This window comes from Homo sapiens, chromosome 1 (genome assembly GCF_000001405.40).
Source record: "Homo sapiens chromosome 1, GRCh38.p14 Primary Assembly".
NCBI classification, from domain to species: Eukaryota; Metazoa; Chordata; class Mammalia; order Primates; family Hominidae; genus Homo; species Homo sapiens.
Genome location: NC_000001.11, coordinates 163558842 through 163578184, shown reverse-complemented (window position 1 = coordinate 163578184; position 19343 = coordinate 163558842).

Here is a 19343-nt window from a genome sequence, read left to right as displayed (position 1 = left end):
AATTTTGGTGGCCAAGTCTGGAGGATTACTTGAGCCCAGGAGTTTGAGCCAGTCTGGGCAACATGAGACCTTGTCTCTACAAATAATTTTTAAACAAAAACTGGCCAGGCATGATGGTACATTCCTGTGGTCCTAGCTTCTCAGGAGGCTGAGGTGGGAGGATAGCTTAAACCCAGGTGGTCAAGGCTGTAGTGAGCCTGGGTGACAGAATGAGGCCCTGTCACAAGTAAAATATAATACAATACAATACAATACAATACAATACAATACAATACAATACAATAATACTAACCTCACCTGGAAACATCCTGACAAACACACCCAGAAATAATAAGTAATAAATAATAATATCTGGGCACCCCATAACCCTATCAAGTTGATACATAAAATTAATCATGACAAAATATCTGACTCAAGAACCTATATAAATGCCACATGGATTAGAATAACAAGGCAAGTCAATTGGATCACCACATAGTTGATTCACTTTTATATTTATTAAGGTTTGAACTCGTAGACATTAATAGTAGAAGGTTATCACATAGTAGAATAGTCAGGAGTAGGAGTTTTGGAGTCTACCTGCCCAGGGTTTAAATTCTGACTATGCTGTATACTCTTATTATACTAATCATAATCAAATAATTGAAAGGTACATATTTTAATTATCTGATTAATTAATTTGTTAATAATAACAGTGATAAAAAACAACAAACAATGATAAAGCAATAGCTTGAATATAATTGACAATATTGTTTTGAGAACTTCAAATAGTTGCTTCGTTCTGTAAAATTGACTCCTAAAATAAGAAAGATTGGCTCCATTCTCAAATATTCTCAGTATACAAAATAGATTTTGTGGCTTTTGTAACTCTAATCTTATGAAACAATATAATATGGTAAACAACTATCAAATTTAGAACTTTATGGAAAAATAAGATATTAAGTTAGACTGACACTCAAAACCTCTACTCATCTTAGTATTTGAGTGGTTTGGTTAATGGACTCCACGATAATCTCAGATCTCAGTTTCTTGAATCTCATGGAAACAACGTTTGGCTAACTGAACAGATATAGTAAAGTTTGTTATTTCAGTTTTAAACCAATGAGAAGGTTTATGAATGAGTATCCATACAAATATACTCAAAATGGATATAAATTCATTTTACCTTTTCTTTAAATATACCTTCTGAAATCATGCTTATGGGCTATCATTTTCTGTATTAGCTTCACTCATTTTCAACCAAACACTTAAAAGGGTCTGCCTACTATATGAAAGGCAATACGGACTGGAATACAAGACATGGTGCTTGCCCCTAGGATCTTAATCCAGGAAATGATTCAACAAATTAGTGCAGCAGCAAATAATGCTGATCGGTAGTACTTGTGGAAAACAAAGTTCTGCTCCAGGCTTTGTCATTCACTTTCTATTTAACCAGAGGCAAACCAGATTTTTCAGATCTTTAGATTATTTATTTGTAAAATGATAACCTTGATAAAAATTACCTTGGTTTTGTTCTTTACTATGGTTTTTAAAAAAATAAACATTAAAGCATAATTAAAGGAGTAAAGCTCACTGAAACCCCACCACTAGTAATCATTTTGGATCTTTCTGTGTAACTCTTTGCTCGTACTCTGGAGAGACACATGGTTTACATTGATGGGGTCGTGTCACATGTTTCTGTTGTAGACTTTATTTTTAAAATAGCTTTTTTTTAGCTCTCCTTTTTCTTCCTGTTTCATCTCCCAAAATAAACAACATTATCAACACTTCAACTTTTATTATGCTCATGTAACAATATACATACACAATAAAATATACCTATATTGAAGATTTGTATAAATTATACAATTTTATACTAAAATTGACTTGTTCTCACTTAAAAATACTTTCTGATACATTGAAGCTATTTGAAATATGATCTACCTTAACCTGTTTGATTACTGCCTACACATCATTGTATGGATAGACTACAATTTCATTTCTCTGTTTATGAGTGTTTATTTCAGTTTTAGCAATTGACAGCACTCTGCAATAAACATCCTTGTATGTTGTAGTGCTTTTATTTCTGTGAGATAAATTCCCAGAAGTAGGATTGCTAGATCAAAAAATAAGCATATTTTTACTTTTAATATATATTGTCAGAACTTTCCAAAAATGCTGTAATAATTTATATGTCCACAAGCAATATTTAAGAGTACTCTGTACATTACAATCTAGCCAACTCATTTACATTTTCTCCAATGTGAAGGGTATAAAGTTGTTATTTTAATTTGCATTTCCATGATTGCTAGTGAACTTGAGCATTTTTTCCAGTGCTTACTGATGCTTAGACTTGTTCTTCATATTTATTGTTTTTCCAGATGTCCTCCAGGGTAAACATAAGGTCTCTCAGGTTCCTGGAGGCTACCACGAAGAAACAGAATGCCGAAGATGGCAGGGCTGTGGGTACCTCTACCCATTTTAACCAGAACCATTTATCTATTTAGTTCTTTGTAAAATTTGATTTGTAAAAATTGCTTGAGAACTGTTAGACTAAATGCTTTTCAGTATTCCTTCCCTGAGATTTTCTGATGCTAAATAATCTTGTTTGTTAATTTTGTTGTTACTATTATTATTATTATTTTTTTTTTTTTTTGAGACAGAGTCTTGCTGAGTTGCCCAGGCTGGGGTGCAGTGGCGCCATCTTGGCTCACTGCAAGCTCGGCTTCCCGGGTTCACGCCATTCTCCTGCCTCAGCCTCCCAAGTAGCTGGGACTACAGGCGCCCACCACCACGCCCGGCTAATTTTTTTTGTATTTTTAGTAGAGACGGGGTTTCACCGTTTTAGCCAGGATGGTCTCGATCTCCTGACCTCGTGATCCACCCGCCTCGGCCTCCCAAAGTGCTGAGATTACAGGGGTGAGCCACCTCGCCCAGTTTGTTGTTACTATCATTATGCCAGCTAGATTTTAAGTTAATTTTAGCTAGAGTCTTCATCCTACACTCCCTTTGCCTCAAAGGATGATATTAATACAGTAGTTTTTGCACTTTTATGTAAATTAGAATCACATGGAGAACTTGTTAAAAATGTGGATACTCAAATGCCAGTGCCAGAGATTGATTCAGAAGGTGATAGGGTAACGTATTTCTGACAAACAATGACCATACTTTGAGATATTCCAGTATTTGGCACTTAGCTGGTGCTCAACAAATGTTTGGTGATTAATGGATTCTCCTAACCTGGCATCAAGTTCTCCTTGAGTCTGTGTGCTTTGGTGAAGCTACATGTGTTGGCACTGAAAAATTTATTTAAAGTTCCATGCTCCAGTATAATTCAGCCTTTGGAATGCAGTTAACATCTTCAGAAATGAGAGAAACTCTTCACTTTCTAGGGGCAGGTGGGAGGTCAGAGAGAATAAACTTAGGCTCCCCTGTTCTATCCGTAATCTTCCCAGAACATCCATATTGCAGTTCTAGTTTCTTGTCAAATAATTCCTCAGTCTGATCCTATTCCATACCACCGTCACTAGCCAGAGGATGGGGCTACATAAAGAGAATTCAACTTCTGGGCTGAGAAAGCTAAAATTCATTGCAATAAAACCATCCCAGAGAAAATGCCAAAAAAGGAATCATATAAAGATTTATTTCTAAAAAGAAGTATACTAAAGTAATAAACTTTCTCTCTGAAAAGATGGGGCCTGTTCAATCTTATATTCTTTCCTCTAATCCTATCTGCATCCCAATCACCCTGATTTACTCTGTCACTGGGTGATGGTACAAAGGGAAAGATTGCAGATCTAATTAGCATAATATGGATAAGCAAATGAGGCCTAATCAATTATGGTTCACACTTGCTTTCATCACTCGTGCCAACAGTCGGCAAATTCACTGACAGTTCAAATGCGACATTTTTAGAAGCCATCAGTAAATCAATAACAAGTGACAGTAATTCAGATGCACACTTCGTTCTGCCTCCATTTCTGTCCAGGAGATGCAGCCTCACAACCCAGAGACACCTGAGCTCAGCAGTCAAAGCCTTTCACCACTTGAATCTTACCCGTGGGCCAAGTCCGGGCATCCTGATTCTTGGCACCCTGCTACCTATGACGGCTTGCAGGAAAGTTATGGTAAGCATGGTGACTAGAAGGGTTTTTTGCAGTCTGTATTACATTTTTGGAACAAGACTGATGGCTGTATTTCTGAGGAGGCAATATGGTCTAGTAGTATATGCCACAGGGCAGCTGACCTGAATTCTTATCCTGGCTCTACTACTCACTACTTGCATGACCTTGGTGAAAATCACTTAATCTGTCTGGTCTGTGTTACAACTGTACCATCTGTTGAATTGGGGGAGAGGGAGGGAGAATGCTAATATGTACCCTTATTTACCTAACAAGCCTGGGTTGGGGATTAAATGAGATGTCAATGGTGAACATACTTTTCATAAATATAAGGTCATTGGTAGAGCTTCAGGGAGAACAGAGTTTTAGCTTTCAGAGTAAAGAGAAATGGTCTGTTCTCTTGTCTGACATTTATAGTCATTTTATTTTATTCTTATGGTATTCATGTCAAAAATTCCAACCTTAATATGACTCTCATAAAAAGGCAGAACAGGAATTTTAAAGTTCAAATTCAATGTAGTGAAATAAAATCTGAGAAAGCCAGAGTTGGAAAGAACCTTAGTCATCACCATCATCATCACTGTCATCATCACCAACATCACCTTGTATTTCTCTAGTGCTTACAGTTCACAAACTGTAAAGAGTCCTTCACAAACAGGGTTTATCTCTGGGCTTCATACTTCAGGAAGAATATTGAACAACTGCAAATCAATCAGATGATGGAGACTCTGACATGCCACGTAAAAATCTCCTTCCATACGTACATTTGCCATTCCACTGCTTTGAGAATATGTCCATTTACCAGTTCTAAATCCAGCTAAGCAAGTACTATTTCATTCCTATCTCTCCACATTGTCTACGAGGTCATCTTCTCTGAAATTCACATTTTCTAGAACTATAACACCCTCTTATTCTATGTGGTTAGTCTCATTATAATATGCATTTAATAAATCCATGTGTCTCCTACGGCTCACTGCTTCCCATTTTTAGTGTATATAAATTAGTCCTTTAATACTTAATTCTAGAATCTAGAAAATAGTTTTAATTCAATTTACTTAAATACATTTATTAAGTACTGCATCCATTGGCTATTGTTACAAAATTGCTGTGCAACAAAGAACTACAAAAACTTACCAGCCTGAAAAAATAAAAATGTATTTCTCATATGTCTGTCTTTGCAGCTCAACAGATCTTTGCCGAGCTTCCTTATATCTCTGTGGATGGCCTAGGGACTCTGTAAATCTTGGCTGGAACATCTTAGCTGGAGCAGCTCTGTTCAATATGTCTCTCCTCTTCATCCTCTTCCTGAGAATAACTCTCTCATAGTAATGTCAGAAGTGCAAAAGCAAGGATGCCAGTCACACAAGCACTTTCCAAGTCTCTTCTCCTGTCACATCTACTAATATGCCTTTGGCCATAGCACACCACATGGCCAAGCCAAGAGGTGGAGAATTATTTCCTGCCCATAGCAAGAGGTCACTGCCAAGTTACATAGCAAAAGATATGGATAATTGAGGAGAAGAATAATTGTAGCCATAAATGTGAGTACCTTATATGAAAAGTCTTGAGTCAGTTTCTATAGAAAATACAAATGTAAATGGGAAGAGATTTCTCATGTAGGATCTTACAATCTAGTAGTGAATATGAGAGTATTTCATATAAGAAAAAAACTATATTTGGCTGTAGAATGAGAAAAGGCTCTAAAAAAGATGTTATTTGAGATGAATTTCAATGAATAAGTAGGATGTTAACAACCAAAAAGACAGTTAGAGAATGTTCTACGTGGTAGGACCGTCTTGAGAGATGGCACACAGAAGAAAAAGCAAGGAGGCGCCCAGAAAGCAATCAGAGATCCTAGATGACTATAGATAAAGTATATGCATGGTAGTAAATGACCAATACAGCCAGAAAAGGTTAGACTCACTATTTTTAGCATCTCAACTATATCACTAGAGCTCTCACTTCCGTAATTACATTGCCTACACTGCCTATGACCAAATTCCAACCAACCAAACACACACACATATTTAAGGAGAAAGAATTTATCTAAAAATAAGAGATAAAGAGATTTGTATTCTCTCTCTCTCTCATACACACACACAAGAGCCAAGCCTAAATGATCCTCTTGGTGTACCATCAGTATAACACCTTCCCTAACTTTTTAAAGAAACGTTTCGTCTGAGGACATCTGCATTTGCCTGAAACATATTTTCCCAGGGTAGTGCTTGACTTTAAGCTGACTGGAGATATCAAACTTTTTTTCACAGATTCTTTGACATACTTGAACATTATCGAACAAATGCCAGTTATGTCTATCTCTTGAATTGTGTCAATCTGAATTGAAAATGTGCTGACTTTTTTTTCAGCATCATCACTCTCTGTGTTTCTATGCCAACAGTGCAATTGGACATGACTGGCAATATTGGTCACTTCTGTTCCCTGGAAGGTTTAAGTTAGTTCTTGCGCCCACACTTTCAGAATCTGACTTCTTAGAGCCATGCAGAATCACACCTGAGAAATTTGGGGGACAATTACACTTATTTTGTTAGTATAAAGATATAATTGCTGATATGATTATAAACAATAATGTCATTTAGTTCAGTTTTATAAGTGAAATGAGAACTATAGGTTTTATGCAATCAATGTATCTTATCTCTTACAATACTACTCAAATTCACAAATTTTCTTGTTTGAGGAAAGGGCCCCATTAACAAATAATAATTGGAATTATAAAATACTTCTGAAATATAGTATTTTAAATCTTGAAGTCCTATAATGACATCTACCAAGCTACTAAATGTTTTAAAGTAGAAGATGTGTTAATAAACAATAGTAAATAAGAATGATATATGCCATTTATTAACTGTTTGCTGCTGTTCATGTGCTGTACTAATTGTTTGGTACACGTTACCCTATTTAGTCCTCTTACTTGTAAGAATGGTGCTGTTCTCATTCCCATTTTACAGGCGATAAGACTGAGGCTAGATAAGTAACTTGCCCAAACCACGCAACTGGTAAATAGTAAAAGATAACTTTGTCTGACTCAAAAATCCCATTTAGATTTATTCAACAAGGAATTGAGGCCTATTACATACATATAGGTACTATATGTATGTACTATATAGTACATATAGGTTCTATTCTAGACTCTGAGGATCTTACAGTGAACGAAACAAAGGAAAATTCCTGTACTCATAGAACTTATTTTGTAGTCTGTATTATATACTTTCATAAGCAAAATAAATGCTCAGAAAATATGTTTCAGGCAAATGCAGATGTCCTCAGATGAAACGTTTCTTTAAAAAGTTAGGGAAGGTGTTATACCGATGGTACACCAAGAGGAACATTTAGGCTTGGCTCTTGTGTATGTGTGTGTGTGTGAGAGAGAGAATACAAATCTCTTTATCTCTTATTTTTAGATAAATTCTTTCTCCTTAAATATGTGTGTGTGTTTGGTTGGTTGGAATAAATCTACAATTTAGTAGATTGTTGTTCTTCCATATATTAATTAACCTATTTATTTAATCTTCATTATTAAATTACAAGTTCCTTATAGGCTGGAAGTATATAATTCCTTTTATTTTATTTTAATTTTCTTATAGCACAGTGAAGTGATGACAGAATGTGCTTTTCAACATGTAGTTTTTAAACTATTTTTCTTTCTTTCCTTTACTTTTCTTTTCTTTTTCTTTTTTTTTTTTTTTTTTTTTTTTGAGTACCACACTATTATTAAACCCTTGAGAAATCACCAGTGCAGGGCTGTTTTATTGCCTGAAGTTGCTGCTGATTCATTGTAGGGGCAGCAGGGAAGGCGATTAATCCAGGTCTCCAGGGTGTCTACATAACTTTCACTTCCAGATGTTGCGCTGATTTGAATCGTGGGTGTCCAATGCCAACATCTAGAAAAAAAACTTAAGAAGTGGGTTCTTTAAACATTTAGCACCATATTTAAAAACCGTCATTGTGTGATGTCAAAGAAGTTCTTTGCATCTCTTGTACTTATTTCTCTTTGTAGTGTACTTCAGCAGAGGGAAGAGTTAGAAGGAAGAGATAAGATGAAACCTGACTTCTTCAAGTGGTATCTTCCTTTTCCTTTTAAACAGAGTCAAAAGAAGCCGTGCCCTTATTCAATTATTTTATTTTTAGAATTTTGGTAAATATAATGAGAAAAGATTTTCTGATTTAAATATTATTTTAAAATAATTTCTAATTAGGAGATTAAATAATCACTTTTCTCTTGGTCTTTACAGGGATGTTTAAAAGGACCAATGATGGCTTGAATTCCAGGAATGTGGCAGACTAAACAGCTAGATATGTCCTCTCAGTTCAGCACACTTTTGGACTGAAACCCAGTGTCAACACTACATGTCAAATTTTTGAGATTCTGGGAAAGCAGGACTTTGGGGGAAATTTAAAATAATGTTTATAATTAAAAAAAAAAAGAAGACAGGCTGAAAATTCACAAGCTACGTGTCTAGCTTGGGCAACATAGCAAGACCCCATTGCTATAAAAAATAAATAAGTTAGCTGGGGGGGTGTGGTGGCACACACCTGTAGTCCCAGCTATTTGGGAGGCTGAGGCAGGAGGATCACCTGAGCTCAGAAGTTCAAGGCTGCGGTGAGCTATGATTATGCCATTGTATTCCAGCCTGAGTGACAGAGAGAGACCTCATCTCAAAAAAATAAAGTTAGAAAAATAAATAATATAAACACTCAAAAGAAGAAAGATAAGAAAAAAAGTAATAGCTGAACTAATGAAATAGAAAGCAAACATACAACAGGAAGGATCAAAAACCAAAAATCTGGTTTCTTGTAAAGTCTAATAAAATTGACAAACCATTTGCAAAACTAGTTACAGAAAAAAAAACATGAGAAAGCCAGGGACAGAAAAAGAAGGTCCCAAAACACAGTATCACAGTATTAGAAATAAATGGGGAACATGACTACAGATGTATCAAAGTCTAAATAAATAATAAATAGATATTATGACAATTTTATACCAATAAATTGATAAAATTATTAGAAATTATATTGGAAAAATAGAAAATATCCCCCCTAAAAAAGTCACTTTAGAAAAGTCTTATACTGACTCAGCACACACACACTCCTACAATATAATGCAGATCATACAGGTTGTAAAATAGTGAAACATCTACGCATGACTTTTGTTTGTTTGTTTTTTGAGTCACTTTTTCACCCATGCCGGAGTGCAATGGTGCAATCTCAGCTCACTGCAACCTCCATCTCCCGGGTTCAAGCAATTCTCCTGCCTCAGCCTCCCTAGTAGCTGGGATTACAGGCACCTGCCACCACGCCCAGCTAATTTTTTGTATTTTTAGTAGAGACAGAGTTTCACCATGTTGGCCAGGCTGGTCTCAAACTCCCAACCACAGGTGATCCGCCCACCTCAGCCTCCCAAAGTGCTAGGATTACAGGCTTGAGCCACTGTGCCTGGCCTACACATGACTTTTAAGAGCCTCTACCTTGGTCCCTAAGTGTCTCCCGGGCCACGTTTGCCCCTCCTCCAGGACCACTCCTTAAACCTCTCTATAATCCATCAACTTAAGGTTAATTCTGGGCACAGAGGGGGACTTTCAGATCCTCTTTTAGGGCTACTGGTTGGTATCCCTCCTGACTGGTCCAGTATCAGATCCAGTTCACCAGCAATAACTTCTGTCACTCTTGCGTATAGCCATTAATTAAAATGAATTTTTAATTAACAATCTACCCATCAAAAACACAGCAGCTCCAGAAGATTTTACAAATGCGTTCTACCAAACATCGAAGAAATTGGTAAATTCATGCAATTTTTCATATTTCTTTAGACTATAAAAAGAGACAACATTGCCTATTTCATTCTACAGGACTAATCTAGCCACAAACTCACAATGAGACACACAAATTATGAAGACATGAAAATTACATGACAACTTTATTCACAAATTTAGATAAAAAATTTGTGAACATAATATTAGCAAACCAAATTCAGAAATACATGTTAGAGATGATTACATTATTAACAAATTAGATTTATTCCAGGAATGCGATATAGCTTCAGTATTAGAAAACTCATTGATATGATTTACCATTTTAAGAGAATAAAAGCAAAGATATTCTCAATAGATGCAGAAAACTAGCTTGGTAAAATTTAGCTGATATCCATGATTTTTAAAAATAGAATCATAGAAAATTTGGAAAAGATGTGATTTCCTTCATCTGGTAAAAAATATATGCCAAAAACTATAGCAAACTCCATATTTCATGGTAAAATATTAGAAGCAATTTTTTTCAAATTAAAAACAAGATTTTAAAAAGTCTACTGTCAACATGTCTAGTCAACATAGTACTGGAACACAGACAGCTAAATTTGACTACAAAAAACATAACAGATACAAAGATAGTGAAAAAGGAAACTACATTGTTATTATTTTTAGATAATATGATTGTCTACATAGAAACCCCCCAAAAATTGAGATTAATTACTAGAATTATTAAGATAATTTAACGATGCTTCCAGTAATAAGATAAATTTACAGAACTCTATTGCATGGCTATAGAGAGTAAGAAAACATTATAACACATTACATATATATATATATACTTTTATTATGATAACAAATACAAAGAATAAATACATTAAAAGTTGTACAAGACAAAACCTTATGGATAAAATTATAAAATGTTGAAATGCATTAAAGAAACCATAAATAAATGGAAAGGTACATCTTACTGACTTATGGATGCTAATTCTCTCCAAATTATTCATCTTTCTTCACATTCAATTCAATTTCAAATACAATTCTACAGGTTTTTTGTTTGTTTTCTCCTAGCAAGCTGTTATCTACAGGTATTTTTCAAGCGGATTCTACTATTTGTATCTAAGAATAAAACTTTAAAAATAGCCAGTACATTAATGCAGAAGAATGACAAAGTTGTGGATCTGGCTGTAATCAATAATTATTATTGTAAAGTCTGATAAGACAGTGTAGTTTTGGGATAGAAACAGGTAAATACACTAATGCAATCAAATGAAGATCTCATGTATTTAGAAACTTGATAAATGACAGATCTAGCTTTGAAAATCAGTGAATAAAATAGACTCTGTTCAATAAGTAATATGGAAAAAATTAGTGGCCCATATGTAAAAATATGAAATTGGATACATATTTCCTATTTGCAAATATCAGTTGTGCTAAGATTATGACCTTAATGAAAAAGGCAAAATTTAAAACTTTTTAAATATAGAAGACTTTGTGGCTTTAGAATGGAAAAGATTTGTTAAACTAGACTCAAAAAGCAAAATTTATTTTAAAAAATGAATAGATTCAACTATATTAAAATTAAAGTTTGCCTTCAACAAATGATACCATAAAGAAAGTGAAAGAGGCAAGCCACAAAGTAGGAAAATAATGTTTGCAACACATATCATAATAATGGATTTACGTTCAGGAGAAAAAAACAAAAACAAAAAACTAAAATACGAAAAGAAATAAAATACTAATAGGAAAATTGGCAAACCGTCATGACCGAGCATTTTCAAGAGGAGAGACTGTCAATGGTCAATAAACATATGAGAAGATACTAATCTCATTAGTTATCAGGAAAATGTAAATTAAAATCCCAGTGAGATACAACTATATAACCAATAGATTAGCACAAATTAAAATGACAATACAAAACCTGGAAAGAATGTGTAATGAGAAGTTTTATACTCTGTTGATTGGAGGATAAATTGGCACAATTACTTAGGAAAATAATCTAGAAAAGTTGAGGATGTGTAGACCCTAGAACCTAGCAATTCTACTCCAGGAGACACCTACAAGAATGTTCAGAAAAGCAATGTTTGTAATAAAAAATTAATTAATTAATTCTGGTATATAAAAACCAGGCAATAGTATACAGTAAAAATGAGTGAATATAGCTACTTGTAATAGTTTTAATGAATCTCAAAAACATAATATCAAGCAAAATATTGAAACTGCAAAATATATAAGCATGATTTTATTTACATAAGAATCAAAAACAGAAAAAAGTAAATAATTTATTGTTTAGGGAGACATACATGTGTAAAAGCAATGACAAGAAGAGTTATTAACACAAAATTCAGACTGTGGTTAACCCAAGCAGGGTGAGAGGGAGTGTGATTTGCAAAGGGCATGTAGAATGCTAAGAGTTCCTGGTATTCTATTTTGTATGCAGTCTTACTGGTACATAAGTTCATTTCGATATTTTTCTTTAAATTCTAAATATATGTTATATACTTTCTTCTTTGTGGATGATATATTTCATCATAAAAAATTTTTAATATCATGAAAATCCCATGTCGAAATATCTTATGAGTCTCAAAAGAAAAACCCTGGTGATTGCCTATCAAGGCACAGTAATTCAGTGTAAGAAATGAACTCAGAGGCAATGTGCAGAAAATACAACTTATACCGAAGAACCCTGTTACACAGGCTGGGCAACCAGGCACAGAAATGAAATGCAATTTTAGAGTAGCTTAAATCTTCACATTAAAAAAAGACACAAAAATATATATTGGTTTCAGAGTGGAAACACAAATTTACATTTGAATGAGATTCTTTTGCACAATGAAACCACAAGGGTGAAAACGTTCATGGATCTGTCTGTGGACTCTGTGAACACAACTGTGAACTCCTCCACAGGACTCAGGCAGGGCATTCAGCACTTGCCCTAGAACGAGAACCCTGGGAGGCCTGGTCTGGGAGAAAGTAGCAGCTGGCAATTAGAAGTCCAGGGGAGTGGGTTAACCCACAGCTGGTGGAAATCAACCAAATGACTAAGAAGACAAAGGAAGGCATGGGGGAGGTGCAGAGACACAGACCATGAGTGGAAAGGCATTGACTAAATTAAACCAGACATCCATATAAATTAAGCTTTATTAAAACGGTGTCATGGTTCTGATTCTTTTAATACTAATTTATTGGTTAGATAGGTTCTTATAGCTGAGAAGAGCTCAAGGTACAGGGAAACAGAATGTTCCCTGTGCTTTGGACAAAGAGCACGTGAGGCTTCCCATACTCTCCTTCCTTCCCCTCATTCTCCCATTCTCAAAGAAGTCTACCTGTGTTTCTCTGCATGAAGCCCCTGGAACCAAGCAGCCTAAAGAACAAAGACCTGAGTCAGTGGCTTTAGCAATGCAGTTCGACCTACACTGATCTGGCTTTTAGGCTTTGCCATCAAGAAAACATTTCTTACTGTCAAATGCAAAATTCTAAAATACATTTTGCTAAAGAGAATGTTTTACCACTGAGGCACTAAAAGCTAAATGGGCCACATTTCTGAAAGATATATAAAGTTTAGGAGGAATTAAAGGAGAAATATATCAGCATTTATGGAAGATTAATGAGAGACTGCAAAATATGAAATGTAATGTCCTTAAATTAGTCTGGGAAAAGAGAAATGGAGCAAAGTATTGAGAAAACTGGGATGAAATACAGAAAGGAACCTCTTAGACTGAACATCAGTGAAACGACAGATAGAGAGAAATCTACAATGATACAGGGGCTTTCCCAAGGAAAGGAAAGAAGTGGCCCGGAGGAGACAGATCATTCTGGGTGTCCACTGTTAGGGCTGGGTGAATGAAATGATCTGTTTTGTACCGTATCTTCCATCTTTAATGTCTCATTCCTGTCAAACCACACCACCTATCTATCTTATACCAGGACATTTCATCAAAGTAATGTCATTCCTGGGGTGGGCAAATTGACCTTAGGATAAAATGAAAATTCCAAACTTACTCACACAGTCCAACAAGAACTCCTCTCCCAAGGGAGGCTTCTTGACTAATGCACCTTGACTAATTCCTACGTATTTTCTCGAGGAGGCTGGGGAAGGGGTGACAGGACAGAGGGGCAAGACAGGGGATAGATTTTTTGCTTTAAACAAAAATAAATAACATCTTGGATTTTTGATAAAAACAAAAAATTCACAGACTTATAAGGTTAGAACCTCTGATAAATCAGAATGGACCTAATAAAAAACTCAGGGCAGTTAAGTTCTACAATTTTTGTTTTTATTTATTTTTCCAAATGGAGAAAAAAAGTAACACTTCCTAATATCCTGAAAGCCAATGAGAAATTTAAAGTGAAAATGCTTTATTAACTGTAAACAGTAAAATGTTCGTGATAGAGAGCTTCTTTTGAATCTAGACAACATACATTGTATAATAGTTCAATTACACCATAAGCTTCCTTTTAAAAAAAAAATTCCATGCAATGATGATTTTTCCCATCCCACCCAAAACAATACCACTACACAAGAATGAATGAATGCTTTCTGTATGTTAAGGTCCTAAACACTTACTCACTGTGTACAAAAGACCCATAAAATGGAAATTGTTTCTATCTTTACTTTCCAGAGGAAACAAATGAACTTAAAGAGATTAGCTAATTTGCTGAAGGTCACACGGTGATATTAATAGCAAAAGGATCCCAGCCTAGTCCTGCCACTCAATAACTGTGTGACCTTGGGAAATGTTTGTGTCAAAAGATGATGGCATCTTCCTCTTGAGACTATTAGGAGTGATTAAATGAGATAATATACATAGCGTATTTGACACTAAGTAAACAGACAATAAACCTTAATTTTTATTTTAATTAATTGTAGAAAAAAAGAAGTATTACCTATGGAAATTTTGAAAAAATACAAAGCCCTGAGCTCTACTCCAACTCAGTTCTACAGTGTCAGAATATCTGAGAGTCGGACTCATTAATATTGATTTGAAAAAGTTTCCTTCCAAGTGATTCTATTACAGTAGATGCAGAGCCTGGTATTTACAAACCACTGATATCCGTATTTTGGCCATAGGAGGTTAGTGGAACAAAGACTCTGAGGCTGTGGTGGTTGAAATATGCAAAGACATGAAATCAACCTAAATGCCCAACGATGATAGACTGGATATAGAAAATGTGGTATATATACACCATGGAATACTACGCAGCCATAAAAAAGAATGAGATCATGTCCTTTCCAGGGGCATAGATGGAGCTGGAGACCATTATCCTTTGCAAACTAACACAGAAACAGAAAACCAAATACCACATGTTCTCATTTATAAGTAGAAACTAAATGATGAGACCACACACTGGGGCCTATCAGAGGGTGAGGGTGGGAGGACGGAGAGGATCAGAAAAAATAACTAATGGGTACTTGGCTTAATACCTGGGTGATGAAATAATCTGTACAACAAATCCCCATGACACAAGTTTACCTATGTAGCAAGCCTTCATTTGTACCCCTGAACTTAAAAGTTAAAAAAAAAAAAAAAAAAAGAACTATTACTTCCTGGGAACATGTGCTGAATCTGCCCCTTTAGAATGCATACTATGTAGACAGATTAAGAAGGGTCAACAAAGCACATCCCAGTAACTAGCCACCTGGTCATGAGCATTGTCTCCTATCTCACTTGTAGACTAAGCAGCAGTCAAAAGAAATAGATCCAACACAGGCATGGGATGCATCCCATGCATGTGATGGTTGGTTTGAAACTCTTTGGGCTAAGAAAGAAAAGCATTGTGGGAGGAGAGCTGCTATCACCGGGTTCAAAGTGCTCATGGTCTTGAAAGCCCATTTCACCTAAAACTAAGGTTGGGGCAAAGTCTGTGGTCTCTGCCTGGCTTAGTGCCCCCATCTGGAAAATGAACAAATTAAGTGATCCCGTGACCCTTTCTGCTCCAATGTTCTATGAGTTTAAGACTTACTGATATTTATACTAAGACTTTCTAAATGTGTGCATACGTACGGTGGATGGAGGGAGGGCAGATTCCTGACTGAAGCTACTTCTCATGAATGAAGCATCAGCAATGTCAGGAACCAGATTACATTTGATCAACACAATTGCCTTTTCCCCTTTCCTGGGGATGCTGATCCTTTTGCCTTTGTTTCTGCTGGCTTCCCATCAGGACTCCCTCCTCCTTTTTGCGCTGAATATCAGTCAGCAGGACCCCCTGGATTATCTCATCTCTACCCTCCTACTATGCATTTTCTCTCCCGTGTGTTTATCCTATTTAGAGCTGTGCTTGTTGTGCTTGAAATTTGACCCTGTCTTTTGTTCAGCAAATCAGCAGTGCTTCCCCTGATCCATGTATCCACACTGGTGGTAAATTTGGACTATTGTCTTCCAGAGTCCTTTGGAGCTACTGAGTTTTGGAAATCCATTTATTCTGTATTTGCATATGTATGTTAGTGAACATTCAAGCATCTCATCTACATAAGCAAAAGAACATCTGTTTTCCTTTCTTAACTAGTATTGATCATAGATTTTTCAGGGACTTTATTGCTAGGCTCCTTGGTATCTAATCCCAACATGTATTACAGAGCCACCTCCTGGCCAAAAGAAAGAAAGAAAGTAGGGAAGTGCTGTTTGTGAGGATAGCCGAATAGGGGGACACTGGGGCCTGGGCAGCCCTAAATGTAAACCAGGAGTCCCTCAGACTTTAAGGCAGTAGGGGCCTCCTTGTTAGGGAAATTCTAGGCCTCCTGCTTTAGTAGCAGCAGATATCATAGTCACAAGCAAAAAAAGGCCTGTTTAGAATGGATGATTTGGTTCTTAGTGATGTAGGAGCTCAGGGAAGCATCACTGGCTCTATTCCCCAAGGTCACAGAGATTATATTATTTTTAACCCCAAATCCATGAACTGTCACCTGCTGTACTTCTATGATCAAAATACATTTTCCACTTATTTGTTCACACAACATAACACACCACTAGCATGCCTGGTGCAGAATTGTGAATTGGAGAGGCAATTATGCAATCATTGAAACTGGAGAGGAGAAATATGTAACTATTTTTTAAAGAATAGTTAACTATAGAGAGAGAGCACTAAACTGGGAGTCTGAACATATGCCTTCTAGGCTTGGCTCTGCTGCTCCAGAGATGAGTGAGTTGGCCTATGCTTGCTCCTCTGGGCCTTAGTTTTCTCACTCTCATGGATGAGTTATAAAATCTCTAAGACCTCCTCTATTTTTTAAATGGTGAGTCTGTGGGTAGTCAGTCCTCTTCCTCCATTTTTATGCTTTCTCCTGCTGCTCAATTCACTCAAAACAAACATACAAACACACAAACACACACACACACACAATCTCTCTCAACAGTGCTCAATGGTAACAAAATCTTCCTCTTCATCAAAACGCGGGCTGCATAGCCAAGGAGTTTCAATGAGGCCTTCATAGCCAAAGAGGTTCTGGCCTCAGTATCCTACATTCTTCTAGGTAGTAGTGAATGGAACAGATTTTCACTGAATCAATGAATTCCTGCTACAGAATAATTGTTAACTTCCCAGACCACATCAGGTCAACTCCTTCACTCTTTGAGAACATTTTTGACAACTTAGACTAAATTCTAGACGTTTTAGCAGAAATGGAGACTTACATGAAACATACATTTACAAAGGCTTCCAGAGACCTAGTTTGCAAAATACTAGGCCTAGAAGAGATCTCGTATCTCCTGTTTAATTTCTTAATTTTACAAGTGCTGGAACTGAGGTCCAGATGTGGCACACTCTTAGCCAGAGGCAGATTCAGAACTGAAGGTTGTGTCTTCTAACCGCTGAGCTTACACTTTGCTGTCTCGACTGCTTGCTATACACCTCTTCCGTTTTGAAGCCACTGACATGTCAGTCAGAGGGGTTCTCATGTCACTGGCATGAGCAGGAGACATGTGTCAGCCCTTGGGAAATCTTTCCTCCCCAGGAGAGCAAGGCAAGGGTGCAAGAGAAGAGAGACATGGGATCGGCCTAGAGAATCAGGTTTTCTTAGGAATAAAACTTTGAACTTCAAGGGCAGGAAAAGCATCCTTTTAATTTTTAAATTTCCCTTCCTTGGTCTCAGGCACAGCCCCTGATGCAGAGCAGATTCAATTAATACAAGCTGATGGAGTGAAGCAGGAATAGTGGTAAATTCTGTGTCCCTGAGGGACAAAGTATGTAGAACTGACTCTTAGCTTTCTCCAAAAGAGTAGTGTGGGCTAGAGCAGAGTTTCCTTGACTATCATATATTAAAGTTACTTAGACCTTCTTATGTCCTTATTTTCCAATTTACTCAGCATGGATTCCATACTGTGACACCATAGCCACTCCCTTTCCATTAACCTCAACTCCTTTGCCTTTTGCTGCGTCTATTGTAAGTACCTGGTTCATTGCACCAGCACCTAAGCAGCTGAATGTTGCTGGAGTGAAACACATAAATGCACGCGTGCACACACACACATACACACACACATGCACAAACACCCCCTTCCACATGCACAGAGGTGTGATTTCCTTTTAATTAGCATTATCAATTTGGGTACACAGAACTGTCAGGCAATTCTACTAGTAGCTAAATAAATTCACTTGTTTCTTTTCCAAAAAGATTATTTCACACCTCTTTTCTCCAACATGCTTTCTGTTTCAAACCCAATTTTTAACATGTGACTGCATCTTTCTTCCTAGGGAACATGGATAGAAACATGATTGCTACCTCATTCCCCATTAGCCAACCCATCAGCCTGCCTGATCTCATCCTCATAGGTTCTGCCTTCTTACCACAAAAAAGCGTCCCTGCTCACACCTTGGAGTCCATTCTTTCTCACTTACTCAAATACTTCTCCCACTCTGAAAATATCTCCTTTTGCTCTTGCACCATCAATTTCTTCCTATTAGATCATTACTATCAGGATATAAACCTTAACATCATGCAAAAATATCATCTTTCTAAGGAAGAAAGATCCTCAAAAAACTCTCCCCGTAAGTCTGAATCTCCAGCCGGTTTCATCTCAATTCTTTGCTTCCATGCACAGCAAAATGCCTGAGAAAAGTTGTAAGAAGTTGCACTTCTTAGGAGGGCAGTTGCTGCCTCTACTTTCTCACATTCCATTTCCTCTTTATGCCACTTCCGCTGGGCTTTGTTTCCCATCTCTGAGCCCTGAAACAGAGATCTTTAGAGTTAACCACTAACTTCCATCTTGCCCTAATCCAATAGGCAGCTTGCTCTGCTTATCTCATTCAGATTCTACCCAGTATTCCACTCAGTTGATCACAACCTCCTTCTTCACACATCTTTTCTCTAGGCCTCCAGCGTATGGCATTCACCCAATTTTCCTCTGACCTCCCTACCTTCTCAATCCCTTAACTGGTATTTCTTTCTCTGCAACATCCTTAAATATTGTAGCACTTCAAGGCTCTGAAGGGTCTGTGTGTTGTGAATACCATATGTTCAGGACTCTTGAAACTGTATCTCCAG